Source organism: Homo sapiens, chromosome 17, assembly GCF_000001405.40.
Source record: "Homo sapiens chromosome 17, GRCh38.p14 Primary Assembly".
NCBI lineage: Eukaryota > Metazoa > Chordata > Mammalia > Primates > Hominidae > Homo > Homo sapiens.
The window spans coordinates 42,900,030-42,919,416 of NC_000017.11; the positions used below are offsets into that span (position 1 = coordinate 42,900,030).

The window sequence follows — 19,387 nt, forward strand, 5'->3', positions numbered from 1 at the left end:
TGTTTTTCTTTTGTTTTGTTTTGTTTTGTTTTGTTTTGTTTTAGAGACTGGGGTCTTGCTCGATTGCCCAGGCTGTAGTGCAGCGGTGGGACAATAGCTCACTGCAGACTCCAACTCCTGGGCTCAAGCAATCCTCCTGCCTCAGCCTCCTGAATAGCTGGGACTACAAGGGTACACCATCACACACACCAAAACAATTTTTTAAATTTTTGTGTAGAAACGAGGGTCTTGCTTTGTTGCCCAGGCTGGTCTCCAACTCCTGGCTTCAAGGGATCCTCCCACCTCAGCCTCCCAAATTGCTGGGATTACAGGTGTGAGCCACCACAACCAGCCAGAACTTTACTAATTTTAAAATTAAGAACTTAAAACTTGAATAGCTAGAGCACCAAGATTTTTCTTTGTCCCCAAATAAGTGCAGTTGCAGGCATAGAAAATCTGACATCTTTGCAAGAATCATCGTGGATGTAGACTCTGTCCTGTGTCTCTGGCCTGGTTTCGGGGACCAGGAGGGCAGACCCTTGCACTGCCAAGAAGCATGCCAAAGTTAATCATTGGCCCTGCTGAGTACATGGCCGATCAGGCTGTTTTTGTGTGCCTGTTTTTCTATTTTACGTAAATCACCCTGAACATGTTTGCATCAACCTACTGGTGATGCACCTTTGATCAATACATTTTAGACAAACGTGGTTTTTGAGTCCAAAGATCAGGGCTGGGTTGACCTGAATACTGGATACAGGGCATATAAAACAGGGGCAAGGCACAGACTCATAGCAGAGCAATCACCACCAAGCCTGGAATAACTGCAAGGGCTCTGCTGACATCTTCCTGAGGTGCCAAGGAAATGAGGATGGAGGAAGGAATGAATGTTCTCCATGACTTTGGGATCCAGTCAACACATTACCTCCAGGTGAATTACCAAGACTCCCAGGACTGGTTCATCTTGGTGTCCGTGATCGCAGACCTCAGGAATGCCTTCTACGTCCTCTTCCCCATCTGGTTCCATCTTCAGGAAGCTGTGGGCATTAAACTCCTTTGGGTAGCTGTGATTGGAGACTGGCTCAACCTCGTCTTTAAGTGGTAAGAACCATATAGAGAGGAGATCAGCAAGAAAAGAGGCTGGCATTCGCTCTCGCAATGTCTGTCCATCAGAAGTTGCTTTCCCCAGGCTATTCAGGAAGCCACGGGCTACTCATGCTTCCAACCCCTCTCTCTGACTTTGGATCATCTACATAAAGGGGGAAGACAGAAAAAATCCTACCAGTGAGTTGAAAATACAGGAAAGCCTATTTCATATGGGTTAAAGGGTAGGACAGTTGAATTTCGTGAAAAGTCTGAGTTATATAGGCTTTGAGCAAAGAGTTTTATTAGTATGAAGCAGAAGAGGTAACATAAAGAAAGATGTATGGGGCCAGGCATGGTGGCTCACACCTGTAATCCCAGCACTTTGGGAGGCCGAGGTGGGCGAATCACTCCTGGGTGAACTCAGGAGTTCAAGACCAGCCTGGGCAACATGGCGAAACTCCATCTCTACAAAAACATTACGAAAATTAGCTGGGCGTGTTGGTGCTGTAGTCCCAGCTACTCAGGAGGCTGAGGTGAGAGGCGGAGGAGGTTGCAGTGAGTCAAGATCATGCCACTGCACTCCAGCCTGGGCAACAGAGTAAGACCCTGTCTCAAAAAAAAAAAAAAGATAGATGATGTATGCTGTATGAAAAAAGGAAACACACAGATGATTCAACAGCCTGTTTTGTGGGGTAATGAAAAGTCACCCTGGGAACTGGGCTCCAGCCCTCGTTCTGCCACCCACCAACTACATGTCCTTGGCAAGTCATATCAATTATCTGAGTTTCTGTTTTATAATCTACAAATAGGTTATCTCTGGCAGCTTAATAATAATCAGGGTTAACATTTATTAAACAGTGTGTGCCAGTCCATGTGCTATGTGCTTTTCTGTGAGGTAGTTACTGCTATTTACAGAAACAGTAGATGCAGAGACCAAGGTGCTGAGTTAAATGATTAGGCCAACAAGGTTAGTACATGCCGAGCCAGGATGGAAGCCCAGGTAGGCAGGCTGGCTTCCGCGGCAATGCTCTTATGAACTATGTTACGTCCAGTGCTGATAAACTGACTCTCTGGGGAGCAGGGGAAAGCCCTGAGTTTAGCATTTGCCAATTTCTATCACGTAAACATTCCCATTCTGGCCACTTTCTTTCTTTCTTTCTTTTGTTTGTTTGTTTGAGATGGAGTCTCGCACTGTTGCCTGGCTGGAGTGCAATGGTGCAATCTCAGCTCACTGCAACCTCTGCCTCTCCGGTTCAAGTGATTCTCCTGCCTCAGCCTCCCAAGTAGCTGGGATTACAGGTGCCCGCCACCATGCCCAGCTAATTTTTTTTGTATTTTTAGTAGAGACATGGTTTCACTATGTTGACTAGGCTGGTCTCGAACTCCTGACCTCATGATCTGCCTGCCTTGGCCTCCCTAAGTGCTAGGATTACAGGCGTGAGCCACTACACCCAGCCGCATGATTCTAAAAAATAAAAAGATGAAGTGTTATTCCAAACATCTGATCTCCATTGAAGAACCATGCAATCTCTCTGGGTTGATAGAGGCCAGAGTTAGTGGCTCTCCCTGATTTCGGTGAGAAATCACTATTCCACCATCACGGGATAAAAGGCATCCTGACTGGCGGTTGACACCTATTTCCACAGTGAAAGATATATCTAGTACTTTTAAAGGGGAAGTGGTTTGTCTGAGATACTCTGTTTCAAAGTAGAGAGGATACAGAACAAGCATCTGAAGCTATATACATCCTTACAGAGAGCAATTCTGATGGAAATGCAGGCCATGTTTCCCTGGGGGGGGCTCGTCCTAGGGGCTGGAGTGCATTCTCTGATGTCAGAGGAAATGCAAGATTCCCTGAGGCCTGAGGGAACCCATGGTATATGCAAGTCCAAGTTTCAAACTGTAGTTCCATATGCATTCTTCCAGGACAAATACTTCTTGAGGTTAAAAAAAAAAAGTCACATAGCTGCCATTTTATGGATTTCAGGATTTTTTTTTTTTTTTTTTTGAGATGGAGTCTTGCTCTGTCACCCAGCCTGTAGTGCAGTGGCATAATCTCGGCTCACGGCAACCTCCGCCTCCCAGGTTCAAGCGATTCTCTTGCCTTAGCCTCCCGAGTAGCTGGGATTACAGTCACGCACCACCACATCTGGCTAATTCTTTATATTTTTTGGTAGAAACGGTGTTTCACCATGTTGGCCAGGCTGGTCTCAAACTCCTGACCTCATGTGATCTGCCTGCCTTGGCCTCCCAAAGTGCTGAGATTACAGGTGTGAGCCACCGCGCCTGCCTGGAGTTCAGAATCTTGGGCTTCATTATTTGTGTTTAAATAGATCATACAGTCAGGCACGGTGGCTCATGCCTGTAATCCCAGCACTTTGGGAGGCTGAGGTGGGAGGATTGCCTGAGTTCAGGAGATGGAGACCAGCCTGGGCAACATGGTGAAACCCCGTCTCTACTAAAAATACAAAAACTAGCTGGATGTGGTGGCACACACCTGTAGTCCCAGCTATTCAGGAGGCTGAGGTGGGAGGATCCCAGGAGGTAGAGGTCACAATGAGCCGAGATTGCGCCACTGCACTCCAGGCTGGGTTACTGAGCCAGATCCTGTCTCAAAAAAAAAAAAGATAATACATTCAAACAGTTCAAAATGCAAAAGTTACATACATAAGGAAGTGTCATGAAATATCTCCCTCTCACACTTCTCCCCAGCCACCCAGTTCTCCCTTCTAGAGGCAACATGTGAAATCCTTCTCAGGCTACACTCTTCTTGAAGGTGTAGGCTTTGGGCAAAAGCATTCATTCAGTAACCCCAGAAACTTGTTCTGTTTTTCCATAGGATTCTCTTTGGACAGCGTCCATACTGGTGGGTTTTGGATACTGACTACTACAGCAACACTTCCGTGCCCCTGATAAAGCAGTTCCCTGTAACCTGTGAGACTGGACCAGGTAAGCGTCCCAGCCCCTGCAGACAGAAGCTGAGTGGACCTCGTTTACCTGTTATGGATGAAACTGACCTTGAGGGGACATGAGGAGAGCCATTCCTTTGTACTTTTGTCATGCTCTTCAATTGGCACAAATTAATTCACTTCTGCAATACTTTCCTGAATAGCACAGTAGTATTGGAAATCTGCCTATTACAGAACCTGGATGGAGTCCAGAGAGGCACGGGCATCCATGGGCAAAGGGCTCGTGAGAGTCACCGCCCTGCAGCGCTGTGTCCTGAGAAAGGAGGGGGCAGAAGCCTGAGCTTCTGGGGGTCCTTCCCAATGGCCTGGCCCACTGGATGTGCCCTCCTGAGCTGACCGTCCAATCCCTTGCCCTCTCTGTGCCTACGTTTTATTAGTTACAGCCAGATGGTTACTGTCAAATCAAATGATAGATTTCATTTTCAGTATGTAATAGGAAGCCCCTCCCTCACCCTAAAGTCTCAGCTGCCCTCTAAGACTAGTACTCTCTAAGGTACTAGTATCCCTTCCTCAGAGACCCTTTCCCTGACCCCAAAACTAGGGAAGGTCCCTTAGTTATTTGCTCTCACAGACCACGCATTTACCTCAGAGCATATTCACTCATTCAGCTGTTACTTACCAAGCACCTACTGGGAGCTATACACTGTTCTATGTGCTAGGGATACCTCTGTCAGTGAACAACACAGACACAAAGATCCCTGCCCTTGTGGAGCTGAAATCTGAATAGAGGAGGTGAAATATACAAAAATTATAATAAATAAGTAAACTAGGCCAGTTGTGGTTGCTCATGCCTGTAATCCCAGCACTTTGGGAAGCCAAGGTAGGTAGATCACCTGAGGTCAGGAGTTCAAAACCAGCCTGGCCAACATTGCAAAATCCTGTCTTTACTAAAAATGGAAAAATTGGTCAGGCGTGATGGCACACGCCTGTAGTCTCAGCTACCTGGGAGGCTGAGGCAGGAGAATCGCTTGAACCTGGGAGGCAGAGGTTGCAGTGAACCGAGATCGGACCACTGCACTCCAGCCTGAATGACAGAACGAGACTCTGTCTCAAAAAAAAAGTAAACTATTAATATGTAGGATAGGCCAGGCACGGTGGCTCACCCTGTAATCCCAGCACTTTGGGAGGCTGAGGCGGGTGGATCACCTGAGGTGAGGAGTTCAAGACCAGCCTGGCCAACATGGCAAAACCCTGTCTCTACTAAAAATACAAAAATTAGCTGGGTGTCCTGGTGCATGCCTGTAATCTGAGCTACTCAGGAGGCTAAGGCAGGAGAATCGCTTGAACCTGGGAGGTGGTGAGCCAAGATTGCGCCATTGCACTCCAGCCTGGGCGACAAAATGAGACACCATCTGAAAAAAAAAAAAAAATATATATATATATACACACACACACACACACACACACACACACACATATAATACTAGAAAATGATTGTTTATAGGCAAAAAAAAAAAAAAAGAAGAAGAAGAAGAAAAGGAAAGGAGAAGGAAAGAAGGACCAAACATCTTTTGTAGAAATATGTTTGCTTTCATCATAACAGCTTGTTATCAAGGATGAATTTCTCCCTGAAATTAATGGAGGCACAGACTGGAAAGTTTAAAGTGGCTTTAAGAGGTTATTTTATTTAGTCCTCTGTCTTAATAGAAGCAAATTATTATCTCTGCTCCTTAGGTAGAGTAGCTAAGGCTCAGAAAGTAGGCCGGGCGCGGTGGCTCACGCCTGTAATCCTAGCACTTTGGGAGGCCAACGCAGGTGGATCACCTGAGGTCAGGAGTTTGAGACCAGCCTGGCCAACATGGTGAAACCTCGTCACTAATAAAAAAATACAAAAACTTAGCCAGGCATGGTGGCGGGCGCCTGTAATCCCAGCTACCCAGGAGGCTGCGGCAGGAGAATCACTTCAACCCGGGAGGCAGAGGTTGCAGTGAGCTGAAATCACACCACTGCACTCCAGCCTTGGTGACAGAGAAAGATTCTGTCAGGAAAAAAAAAAAAAAGTTTAAATGAATTACCCAAGGTATATAATTGTTAGTGTTAGAAGGAAGAAGAAGGGAGGGAGGAAGGAAGGGAGAAAGAAAGGGAAGGAGGAAGGGAGGGAGGGAAGAAAGCCTTTATTTATCTATGGGGTTCCCTGGAAAGCAGGCTGAAATGGAGATTCACGTGCAGGAGTTTAGATACTCTGGGGAACTATACTTGTAGAAGGGAAGGAACAGGAACAGGGCAGAAGGAGAGGTCCGGTTGTGATTCTGCCTCATCCAACCCCACAGCGAGCTCTGAAGCTGGGGATGGCTCCTCAGAGTTGGTCCAAGTTGGGACAAGGGAATCAGACCCTGGGGAGAGCGTAACCTTGATCAAGGCGACTCTCTTTAGCCCAGGGCAATGCCAGGAGAAGGCTGAGAGCAGAAAGCCATCTACCATCACACTCTCAACAGCTACGAAATAAGTCCTGCAGTTCAGGAGGGAGGTCTGGGCGGCACATCTCAGGACCCTCTATCTCTCAGGGTAGAGGAATTAAGAATGGGATGGGAACCAGACGGGCCATGGTGGCTCACACCTATAATCCCAACACTTTGGGAGGCCAAGGGTAGGAGGATTGCTTGAGCCCAAGAGTTCAAAACCAGCCTGGGCAAAAACAATCAAACAAACAAACAAAACACATTTAAAAAATTTGCTGTGTGTGGTGGTGTGCACCTGTGGTCCCAGCTACTCAGGGGGCTGAGGTGGGAGGATTGCTTGAGTCCAGGAGGTCGAGGCTGCAGTGAGCTATGATCATGGCACTGCATTGCAGCCTAGGAGACAAAGCAAGACACTGTCTCTAAAAAAACAAAAAACAAACAAATAAAAAAACGGAACCGGTTGCAAGCAGGGTTAAATAGCGTGGTCAGAGTAGGACTCACTGAGAATATGAGATCTGAGTCAAGTCTTCAAGGATGTGAGGAAGTAAGTTTCTGGCAGAAGAGCTGTGAAGGGCTGTCTGGCCAGAGAAGATTGCAATGCAAAAGCCCTGAGGTGGGAACGTGTTTGGTGTGTTTAAAGGAAAGCAATGAGGCCAGTGTAGCCAGAACAGAGTGTGCAAGGAGAGAAGGAACAGAAGATGTGGAGGGCAGATCAGTTTGTAATTGTACGCCCAGTATGCTGATTCTTTGTGTAATCTCCAGACTGTATTAAACTGCAAGAGCAGGGCCCCTCTCTGGCTTTGCTCATCATTGTATTCCCAGAGCCTTGCACAATGCTTGGTGCATAGGAGATGGAAATTTGTTAAATAAATGAATTATGGATAACGAATGGATGGTAAGATGGGTGGATGGATGGGGGGTGAACGGATGGATGGGGGGTGAATGGATGGATGAATGGGTAGATGGGTGGATAGGGGGATGGCTGGGTGGCTGGGTAGATGATGCACTGTCTCCCAGATGAGGACCTTTTCACCTTTACTCCATTCTCTTTCCTGCCCTTTAGGGAGCCCCTCTGGCCATGCCATGGGCACAGCAGGTGTATACTACGTGATGGTCACATCTACTCTTTCCATCTTTCAGGGAAAGATAAAGCCGACCTACAGATTTCGGTAAGAACTCACCACTGGGGTGTAGGTGGTGGAGGGCAGGAGGCAGCTCTCTCTGTAGCTGACACACCACGTATTCTTCCTCACATCCCCCTAGCCCGCTCCCACACCTGGGCAGCCGCTGATTAAGAGTTGTGGCACTTTGGATAGGGATAAACCTCAGAGTCAGGGAATGTTTGGGCTGAAAGGGATCCAGTAGTGCAATCCGTTGTTTTACAGATAAGGAAACAAAGCCCAACACCATGAAGGGACTTATAAAAATAAGGTAGTGAAGTAGCAGCAGGGCTTAAATAAAAACCCATGTCTGTACCAACCACAGAGTCACCCATCCAGGTTAAAATAACCAGAGAAACAGAAGATATTCCTACTACAGAGAATTCCGGGTGTGCAGCCACAGTGCAAATCCTTTTTATTTTTATTTTTGAGATGCAGTCTCGCTCTGTCATCCAGGCTGAAGTGCAGTGGCACGATCATGTCTCGCTGCAACCTCTGCCTCCCAGGCTCAAGCGATCCTCCCACCTCAGCCATCTGAGTAGCTGGGACCACAGGCCACACACCACACCCAGCTAATTTCTCGTATCTTTTTGTAGAGACAGAGTTCTGCTATGTTGCCCAGGCTCAGGCTGGTCTTGATCTCAAGCAATTGGCTTGCCTCAGCCTCCTAAAATATTGGGATTACAGGCATGAGCCACCGCGCCAGCCATGCAAATCCTTAATTATCAAACAGATAAAATAGGGAAGTTAAAATTCATATACACAAGGGTTAACCACTTGCCACAGGCATTTTTTTTTTTTTTTTGAGACGGAATCTCGCTCTGTTGCCCAGGCTGGAGTGCAGTGGCGCCATCTCGCCTCACTGCAACCTCCGCTTCCTGGGTTCAAGCTATTCTTCTGCCTCAGCCTACCGAGTAGCTGGGACTACAGGCACGTGCCACCACACCTGGCTAATTTTTTTATTTTTAGTAGAGATGGGGTTTCACCATATTGGCCAGGCTGGTCTTGAACTCCTGACCTAGTGATCCATCCGCCTCAGCCTCCCAAAGTGCTGGGATTGCAGGCATGAGCCACCGCGCCTGGCCTTTTTTTTTTTTTTTTGAGACGGAGTTTTGCTCTTGTTGCCCAGGCTAGAGTGCAGTGGCGCAGTCTCGGCTCACTGTAACCTCCACCTCCTGAGTTCAAGCAATTCTCCTGCCTCAGCCTCTCAAATAGCTGGGATTACAGGCGTGAGCCACCCCACCTGGCTAATTTTGTAATTTTTTTTTTAGTAGAGATGGGGTTTCACCTGTTGATCAGGCTGGTCTCAAACTCCTGACCTCAAGTGATCCACCCACCTCGGCCTCCCAAAGTGCTGGGATTACAAGCATAAGCCACCGTGCCTGGTCAATTTTGATCTTTTTTAAAGAGACAGGGGTCTTGCTATGTTGCCCAGACTAGTCTTGAACTCCTGGCCTCAAGTGATCCTCTCACCTCGGCCTCCCAAAGTATTGGGATTACAGGTCTGAGCCGCTGCACCCAGCCCCCAACAGGCATCTTTGGACTTTTGAGTACTGGCTTTAATTTACAAAAATTCCACTGAGAGCACCTAAGTTTGCCAGGCTCCAACATTTCTGCAGGGGCTGTTTTCTTTGCTGAAGGATCTGCACCTGTGTTCTGTTATGGTTGCCTCTTCTGTTGCAGGTGCTTGAATGTCATTTTGTGGTTGGGATTCTGGGCTGTGCAGCTGAATGTCTGTCTGTCACGAATCTACCTTGCTGCTCATTTTCCTCATCAAGTTGTTGCTGGAGTCCTGTCAGGTATGGGCTGATCTGACTCCCTTCCTTCTCCCCCAAACCCCATTCCGTTTCTCTCCCTAATCAGGACAAAATCCCAGCATTCCAGCCACATCCTGTGTGTAATCAGTACTGTTAGCATTTCTGTGGGTTGAAAGTCAAGAATGAGCAACTTGAAATGATTAATTTCTATAAGAGTGCCCAGATCTATAGAATGAATTGTGTAGAAGTTACCATACATCAAATTAACGCACCAAATTGAATTAGCTTGAAATCTCAGAGCTTTTTACAATCTTTATTTCTTACTGGTCTTCAACAGGCCCTAATTTACTTTTCAGGGAATCTGCCAAATTTAACAAATTAACACGATGTCCTAGGAAAGCTGTTCATTTAAATACATTCATTTGCAAACCTAATAGATAACTGCAGTTGATCTCTTTTATAGGTTCAGAGTTTTGAATATGTTTTTTTTTGTTTTTTTTTTTTGAGATGGAGTCTCGCTCTGTGACCCAGGCTAGAGTGCAGTGGTGCGATCTCGGCTCACTGCAAGCTCCACCTCCTGGGTTCACGCCATTCTCCTGCCTCAGCCTCTCCGAGTAGCTGGGACTACAGGCGCCCGCCACCATGCCCGGCTAATTTTTTGTATTTTTAGCAGAGACGGGGTTTCACCGTGGTCTTGATCTCCTGACCTCGTGATCCGCCCGCCTCGGCCTCCCAAAGCGCTGGGATTACAAGGGTGAGCCACCGCACCCTGCCTGAATATGTGTTTTCTTAGATCCAATTAACAAGGGTAAGACAAGATTTAAGTTAAGCATAAGAAAGATTTTGTGGGAGGCACTGGAATATAAGACCTTAACAAAACTGTGGAATTTCTCCCCTGGAGATTTGTAAGAACGGAACATAGCAGCATTCAAAGAAGAATGTTGAGAACAAGGGAGATAATGGTTTCATGGTAATCACAAAAGTAACACAGCATTTAGTACTGGGTTCCATGTTTGAGGAAGAACCTGGAAGCCATATCACATGAAAAACCTGGGAATGTTTAGGTTAGAGAGAATAACTGTGTTCAAATGTGTGACAGAGGGACTAGATTCATCACTTACTAACTCCTGCAGAAAGAACTGAGAAAAATAGACAGTATTAGAGGGGGACCAGTTTCACACAGACAAGGAAGAACTATTCAGCAATCAATTCCGTTCAAAGATAAAATGGACTGTTATAGTGGGGGTGAGCTCCCTACCTCTGAGGGTATTTCAAGTAGAGATAGGAGGACCTCCTGGTAGGAAATTTGCATACGGTGGGAGATTGTACGTGATATGGCACCTCCATCTGAAAGAGTCTATATTGAGGGCAGGCTGGAGTCACACATGGGAATAAGCCAGGCGACCCTCCCATCTGCCATCTGTGATTTAATTCCACAGTCGCAGAACGGATGGCATGTCACCCACTCCTCCAAACCCACCTCTAGCAAAGGTCCCAAATCCTTCCTATCTCTCACAGTCATGCTTTCTTCCACTCAGGCATTGCTGTTGCAGAAACTTTCAGCCACATCCACAGCATCTATAATGCCAGCCTCAAGAAATATTTTCTCATTACCTTCTTCCTGTTCAGCTTCGCCATCGGATTTTATCTGCTGCTCAAGGGACTGGGTGTAGACCTCCTGTGGACTCTGGAGAAAGCCCAGAGGTGGTGCGAGCAGCCAGAATGGGTCCACATTGACACCACACCCTTTGCCAGCCTCCTCAAGAACCTGGGCACGCTCTTTGGCCTGGGGCTGGCTCTCAACTCCAGCATGTACAGGGAGAGCTGCAAGGGGAAACTCAGCAAGTGGCTCCCATTCCGCCTCAGCTCTATTGTAGCCTCCCTCGTCCTCCTGCACGTCTTTGACTCCTTGAAACCCCCATCCCAAGTCGAGCTGGTCTTCTACGTCTTGTCCTTCTGCAAGAGTGCGGTAGTGCCCCTGGCATCCGTCAGTGTCATCCCCTACTGCCTCGCCCAGGTCCTGGGCCAGCCGCACAAGAAGTCGTTGTAAGAGATGTGGAGTCTTCGGTGTTTAAAGTCAACAACCATGCCAGGGATTGAGGAGGACTACTATTTGAAGCAATGGGCACTGGTATTTGGAGCAAGTGACATGCCATCCATTCTGCCGTCGTGGAATTAAATCACGGATGGCAGATTGGAGGGTCGCCTGGCTTATTCCCATGTGTGACTCCAGCCTGCCCTCAGCACAGACTCTTTCAGATGGAGGTGCCATATCACGTACACCATATGCAAGTTTCCCGCCAGGAGGTCCTCCTCTCTCTACTTGAATACTCTCACAAGTAGGGAGCTCACTCCCACTGGAACAGCCCATTTTATCTTTGAATGGTCTTCTGCCAGCCCATTTTGAGGCCAGAGGTGCTGTCAGCTCAGGTGGTCCTCTTTTACAATCCTAATCATATTGGGTAATGTTTTTGAAAAGCTAATGAAGCTATTGAGAAAGACCTGTTGCTAGAAGTTGGGTTGTTCTGGATTTTCCCCTGAAGACTTACTTATTCTTCCGTCACATATACAAAAGCAAGACTTCCAGGTAGGGCCAGCTCACAAGCCCAGGCTGGAGATCCTAACTGAGAATTTTCTACCTGTGTTCATTCTTACCGAGAAAAGGAGAAAGGAGCTCTGAATCTGATAGGAAAAGAAGGCTGCCTAAGGAGGAGTTTTTAGTATGTGGCGTATCATGCAAGTGCTATGCCAAGCCATGTCTAAATGGCTTTAATTATATAGTAATGCACTCTCAGTAATGGGGGACCAGCTTAAGTATAATTAATAGATGGTTAGTGGGGTAATTCTGCTTCTAGTATTTTTTTTACTGTGCATACATGTTCATCGTATTTCCTTGGATTTCTGAATGGCTGCAGTGACCCAGATATTGCACTAGGTCAAAACATTCAGGTATAGCTGACATCTCCTCTATCACATTACATCATCCTCCTTATAAGCCCAGCTCTGCTTTTTCCAGATTCTTCCACTGGCTCCACATCCACCCCACTGGATCTTCAGAAGGCTAGAGGGCGACTCTGGTGGTGCTTTTGTATGTTTCAATTAGGCTCTGAAATCTTGGGCAAAATGACAAGGGGAGGGCCAGGATTCCTCTCTCAGGTCACTCCAGTGTTACTTTTAATTCCTAGAGGGTAAATATGACTCCTTTCTCTATCCCAAGCCAACCAAGAGCACATTCTTAAAGGAAAAGTCAACATCTTCTCTCTTTTTTTTTTTTTTTGAGACAGGGTCTCACTATGTTGCCCAGGCTGCTCTTGAATTCCTGGGCTCAAGCAGTCCTCCCACCCTACCACAGCGTCCCGCGTAGCTGGGACTACAGGTGCAAGCCACTATGTCCAGCTAGCCAACTCCTCCTTGCCTGCTTTTCTTTTTTTTTCTTTTTTTGAGACGGCGCACCTATCACCCAGGCTGGAGTGGAGTGGCACGATCTTGGCTCACTGCAACCTCTTCCTCCTGGTTCAAGCGATTCTCATGTCTCAGCCTCCTCAGTAGCTAGGACTACCGGCGTGCACCACCATGCCAGGCTAATTTTTATATTTTTAGAATTTTAGAAGAGATGGGATTTCATCATGTTGGCCAGGCTGGTCTCGAACTCCTGACCTCAAGTGATCCACCTGCCTTGGCCTCCCAAGGTGCTAGGATTACAGGCATGAGCCACCGCACCGGGCCCTCCTTGCCTGTTTTTCAATCTCATCTGATATGCAGAGTATTTCTGCCCCACCCACCTACCCCCCAAAAAAAGCTGAAGCCTATTTATTTGAAAGTCCTTGTTTTTGCTACTAATTATATAGTATACCATACATTATCATTCAAAACAACCATCCTGCTCATAACATCTTTGAAAAGAAAAATATATATGTGCAGTATTTTATTAAAGCAACATTTTATTTAAGAATAAAGTCTTGTTAATTACTATATTTTAGATGCAATGTGATCTGAAGTTTCTAATTCTGGCCCAACTAAATTTCTAGCTCTGTTTCCCTAAACAAATAATTTGGTTTCTCTGTGCCTGCATTTTCCCTTTGGAGAAGAAAAGTGCTCTCTCTTGAGTTGACCGAGAGTCCCATTAGGGATAGGGAGACTTAAATGCATCCACAGGGGCACAGGCAGAGTTGAGCACATAAACGGAGGCCCAAAATCAGCATAGAACCAGAAAGATTCAGAGTTGGCCAAGAATGAACATTGGCTACCAGACCACAAGTCAGCATGAGTTGCTCTATGGCATCAAATTGCAACTTGAGAGTAGATGGGCAGGGTCACTATCAAATTAAGCAATCAGGGCACACAAGTTGCAGTAACACAACAAGACTAGGCCAGCTCTGGAATCCAGTAACTCAGTGTCAGCAAGGTTTTGGGTTATAGTTCAAGAAAGTCTAAACAGAGCCAGTCACAGCACCAAGGAATGCTCAAGGGAGCTATTGCAGGTTTCTCTGCTAAGAGATTTATTTCATCCTGGGTGCAGGGTTCGACCTCCAAAGGCCTCAAATCATCACCGTATCAATGGATTTCCTGAGGGTAAGCTCCGCTATTTCACACCTGAACTCCGGAGTCTGTATATTCAGGGAAGATTGCATTCTCCTACTGGATTTGGGCTCTCAGAGGGCGTTGTGGGAACCAGGCCCCTCACAGAATCAAATGGTCCCAACCAGGGAGAAAGAAAATAGTCTTTTTTTTTTTTTTAATAGAGATGGGGGTCTCACTATGCTGCCCAGGCTGGTCTTGAACTCCTGGGTTCAAGTGATCCTCCTGCCTCAGCCTCCCAAAGTGCTGGGATTACAGTGTGAGCCACTGCGCTTGGCCAGAAATGGTTTTGATCTGTCTGAACTGAACCCTACTGCTTAGGCATAGCCCCATCCTTGATAATCTATTTGCTCCCAAGGACCAAGTCCAAGATCCTTACAAGAAAGGTCTGCCAGAAAGTAAATACTGCCCCCACTCCCTGAAGTTTATGAGGTTGATAAGAAAACATAACAGATAAAGTTTATTGAGTGCTAACTTTATGCCAGATTCTGTTCTATGTACTTTATTTATACAATTAACTCGCTTAGTTCTCCCAACATCTCTGTGAGTTGGCTACTGTCATTTATCCTTATATTACAAATAGGTCCAGAGGGGTTAGTCATCTTGTCCAGAATGGTGGAACCAGGTTAAGGATCAGGCAGTCTGGGCTGGGCATGGTGGCTCACATCTGTAATCCCAGCACTTTGGGAGGCTGAGGTGGCAGATTGCCTGAGCTCAGGAGTTCGAGACCAGCCTGGGCAACATGGTGAGACCCCCGTCTATACCAAAAATACAAAACATTAGCCAAGCGTGGTGGTGCATGCCTGTGGTCCTAACTACTCAGGTGGCTGAGGTGGGAGAATCCCTTGAGCTCAGAGGTTGCAGTGAGCCAAGATTATGCCACTGCACTCCAGCCTGGGTGACAGAGTGAGACCCTGTCTCAGAAAAAAAAAAAAAAAAGAAGCAAGCAGTCTGGGCTGGGTGCTGTGGCTCGCGCCTGTAATCCCAGATACAAAATAATCATTTTGTAATATATCCTGCTTATTAGACAGAACATTTTGATCACTCATCTGTTCCCTAAGTTATAGATTTACGTCCACTTTAGAAATGGCTTGTGAGGCAAGTTTAAGTGACCGATGACAGTTTTAAAGCAAGGTCCATGTCATGTTATGGCATAATTTGGTAGAATGTTCTAGTAGTGTATCAGTTTTCAGGTGGTAGGCTTGAGGATGATACACACACACACACACGCAATGCAATTCTATTATTGCCCAAAGAAAATAGACCCATTAAGGAAGTCCAACTTCTGCTGCGTGGACCAGTGCTGCCACATCACACATAGACCAAAGGCTTAGGTTTTTGTGGTTTTGGTTATTTATTTTATCTTTTTATTTTATTTTATCTTATTTTATTTTATTTTATTTTATTATTTGAGATGGAGTCTCACTCTGTCACCCAGGCTGGGGTGCAATGGCGCAATCTCAGCTCACTGCAACCTCCAACTCCTGGGGCTCAAATGATCCTCCAGCCTCAGCCTCCCGAATAGCTGGGACTACAGATGCGTACCACCATGCCTGGCTAATTTTTTTATTTTTTGTAGAGACAGGGTCTCAAGCATCCTCCCGCCTTAGCCTCCCAAAGTGCTGGGATAACAGGCATGAGCTGCTGCACTCAGCCATGTTTTTGATTTTTAACAAAATTGTAACACCTTAAAAAAAATGTATAACAAGGCCGGGCACGGTGGCTCATGCCTGTAATCCCAGCACTTTGGGAAGCCAAGGCAGGCAGATCACCTGAGATCAGGAGTTCGACCTGACCAACATGGTGAAACCGCGTCTCTACTAAAAATACAAAAAATTAGCCAGACGTGGTGGCACATGCATGTAATCCCAGCTACTTGAGAGGCTGAGACAGGAGAACTGCTTGAACCGGGGAGGCAGAGGTTGCAGTGAGCCCAGATCACACCATTGCACTCCAACCTGGGCAACAAGAGTGAAACTCCATCTCAAAAAAAAAAAAAGCTGTATAACAGCTTGAGATATAATTCACAATACCATACAATTCACTCATTTAAAGTGTACAATTCAGGGGTTTTCATTCCACTCCAACCCACTCAAGCCTAGGCAACCACTAATCTACTTTCTGTCTCATAGATTTGCCTATTTGGGGCATTTCATATAAATAGACTCCTACAATATGTGGCCTTTTGTGTCTGGCCTCTTTCACTTAGCATGATGTTTTCAAGGTTTATCTGTGTTATAACATATATTGGTACTTCATTTCTTTTTATGGACAAGTAATATTCCATTGTATGAATATATAACATTGTATGAATATACCACATTTTATTTATCTGTTTATCAGGCCAGGCATGGTGGCTCACATCTGTAATCCCAGCACTTTGGGAGGCTGAGGCAGGAGGATTACTTGAGCCTAGGAGTTCAAAACCAGCCTGGGCAACACAGGGAGACCTCGTGTCTACAAATAATAAAAGATTAGCTGGGCATGGTGGCACATGCCTGTAGTCTCAGCTACTCAGGAGGCTGAGGTGGGAAGGATGGCTTGAGCCTTGGAGATGGAGGCTGCAGTAAGCCACTGCACTCCAGCCTGGGCAACAGAGCAAAAGCCTGTCTCCAAATAATGAATGAATGAATGAATGAATGAATGATAAATAAATATTTGTTAATCAGTTGATGGATAACTGGCTTGTTTCTGCTTTTTGGCTATTATGAATAACAGTGCTATGAACATTTGTGTGCAAGTCATTGTGTGGTTGCATAGTTTCATTTCTCTTGGGTACATTCTTAGGAGTGGAATTGCTGGGAGATGTGGGAACTCTATATTTAACCCTTTAAGGAACTGCCAGACTGTTTTCCCGAAGGCTTAGTTAGGAAAGTTTTACAGTATTTTTGGTTTTATCATCTCTTGATTTCCTAGGATCATACCCTTTATCATAACTTTATCTACTTCTATGCTTTGGAAAGGTTTCAAAGGAAGACCGATTAGGTGGTCAGATTTTTCTTTTTCCTTTTTTTTTTTTTTGAGACAGAGTCTCTCTCTGTTGCCCAGGCTGGAGTGTGGTGGCACCATTACTGCTTACTGCAGCCTTGACCTCTCAGGCTCAAGTGATCCTCCTGCCTCAGCCTCCCATGTAGCTGGGACCACAGGCACGCACCACCACACCTGGCTTTTTTTTTTTTTTTTTTTTTTTTTTTTTTTTGTAGAGACAAGGTCTCACTATATTGCCCAGGCTGGTCTCCAACTCCTGGGCTCAAGTGATCCTCTTTCCTTAGCCTCCCAAAGTGCGGGGATTACAGGTGTGAGCCACTCACCCGACCAGGTGGTCAGATTTTACGTGAGGAACTCTCAGCGCACTCCTCCACTTGCGTTGCCAATTTCTTTGTTATTCCAACAGGCATTCCGGGAACGTTACATTTGAAGACATGTCTGCATATCTGAAATTCCAGCCCTAATTAATTGACTCATTGTTTGCAACCTGTCAAAATTTGCTGACTTGTTTTCTGAAAACCATGACTTCAGCTGCTGAATTATTAATATTCATTGACTTCACTCTGCAGTAACTGCTGAACTAGGCTGTAAGGCCTGTTTGTGTGAATAAGATAGGACGATACCATTTGTATGCAAAAGTTTTTCAAGTGTCTCCTTGATAATAGGAAACACTCTGGCTAAATAGCCTTCTGGTTATATGGTTAAGGAAATAATTGACTAGAAGTGGCATGAAGAAGCAGACAACAAAAGTCACTTCCATCAGGGAACCAAGACCTTCATTAATCCAGAGGGAAAACTAGTGATTTTTCTAGTCCAGTGATGGGCAATTCGAAGCTCAAAGTCTAATTTCAGGGAGAAAGATGAAAAACCTGCATCCAGCCGGGCCTGGTGGCTCACAGCTGTAATCCCAGCACTTTGGGAGGTCGAGGTGGGTGGATCACCTGAGGCCAGGAGTTCGAGACCAGCGTAGCCAACATGGTGAAACCCCGTATCTACTAAAAATACAAAAATTAGCCGGGCGTGGTGGCTTATGCCTGTAGTTCCAGCTACTTGGGAGGATGAGGCAGGAGAATCGATTGAACCTGAGAGGTTACTGTGAGCTGAGATTGCGCCACTGCACTCCAGCCTGGGCAACAGAGTGAGGCTCCATCTCAAAAACAAACAAACAAACAAACAAATAAAATACAAAGCTGCATCTGGACTGGGCATAGTGTCTTATACCTGTAATCCCAGGACTTTGGGAGGTCCAGGTAGGATTGCTTGAGGCCAGGAGTTCAAGAGCAGCCTGTGCAACATGGCAAGACCCTACCTATACAAAAAAAAAAATTTTTAATAAAAATTAGGCCGGGTGCAGTGGCTCATGCCTATAATTCCAGCACTTTTGGGAGGTCGAGGGAGGCGGATCACTTGAGGTCAGGAGTTCGAGACCATCCTGGCCAACATGGTAAAACCCCGTCTCTACTAAAAATACAAAAATTAACTGGGCATTGTGGTGCGTGCCTGTAGTCCTAACTACTCGGGAGGCTGAGGCAGAAGAATCACTTGAACTTGAGATGCGGAGGTTGCAGTGAGCCGAGATCTTGCCACTGCACTCCAACCTGGTGACAGAGTGAGACTCTGTCTCAAAAAAAAAAAAAAAAAAAAAAAAAATGAGCCGGGCATTATGGTGTGCTCCTGTAGTCCCAGCTACTCAGGAGACGAGGTGGGAAAATTGGTTGAGCCTGAGAGGGTGAAGCTGCAGTGAGCCATGATTGTGCCACTGTACTCCAGCCTGGGTGACAGAGCAAGACCCTGCCTCTAAAAAAATAAATACATAAAAATAAAGCTGCATCTGGGCTGCTCTTCTCAATAAAAGAAAGAAGTCTATAAATATTTTTTATTTGTCCTGAGTTGGCCTTTATTTCAAAAAAGAAAGTTGCTCACTATAAATTCTACTCAAAAACATTTTTCATTTCATGAATATAGAAATGAAGGCCAAGAGAGGTGAAATGGTGCCTCTAAGTCACGTAACTAACATGTTCACAGGTCTCTTGATTCTCAGCAAAGAGCAGTCTCCTCTCTGCCAGTCTCCTGCGTATATTTGGGCTGCTGTGTCAACATGCAGCTGTTGAAACAGAAGTAAAAGACATATGTAAACAGTACAGTCAGATTATTTGAGCCAGACTGAGGGCTTATTAACCAAATTAAAGGCAAAGCTAGAATAATTGTGTTTGAAGTGGCCTTCTCCTAATTATGTTATGGGTTTCTTTCTTCTTTTACTTTCGTTAAGTCTCCCCAGGACACAGGGTAATAACTAACTACAACCAGGAACAGCTGGGTGTGTTTATGGGGTTTGGGGTTTTTTTTAGCAAGAAGCTAGTTTTCCAGCCAGCAAATTTTCAATACTTTCCTTTCTGCCACCTCCTCACTTTCTTCTTCTGCTCTTCTCATTCCATAATTATTGCCCTCAGAACAGTTCAACTCAGCTTCAACAC

At 45.9% G+C, this 19,387-nt stretch overlaps 1 protein-coding gene across 2 annotated transcripts, besides 1 other annotated feature; it reads left to right on the top strand.

Moving 5' to 3' along the window:
* G6PC1 (glucose-6-phosphatase catalytic subunit 1) lies at positions 770-14,409 on the top strand. Of its 2 annotated transcripts, none has more exons than NM_000151.4 (5): positions 770-1,077; positions 3,902-4,011; positions 7,494-7,599; positions 9,274-9,389; positions 10,886-14,409. In NM_000151.4, the coding sequence occupies exons 1-5, from the start codon at positions 848-850 to the stop codon at positions 11,395-11,397; spliced, it is 1,074 nt and encodes a 357-aa protein (NP_000142.2). In that variant the 5' UTR covers positions 770-847; the 3' UTR covers positions 11,398-14,409. The 2 variants fall into 2 exon arrangements, with proteins under 2 accessions (NP_000142.2, NP_001257326.1); NM_001270397.2 differs by having other exon boundaries at positions 7,571-7,599.
* Positions 17,036-17,794: an enhancer, noted in NCBI's record as "OCT4-NANOG-H3K4me1 hESC enhancer chr17:41069082-41069840 (GRCh37/hg19 assembly coordinates)". NCBI's record gives its function as "activates a minimal SCP1, AML or CMV promoter by ChIP-STARR-seq in naive H9 embryonic stem cells {active_cell/tissue: H9 hESC(naive)}" and the evidence as "EXISTENCE:reporter gene assay evidence [ECO:0000049][PMID:30033119]".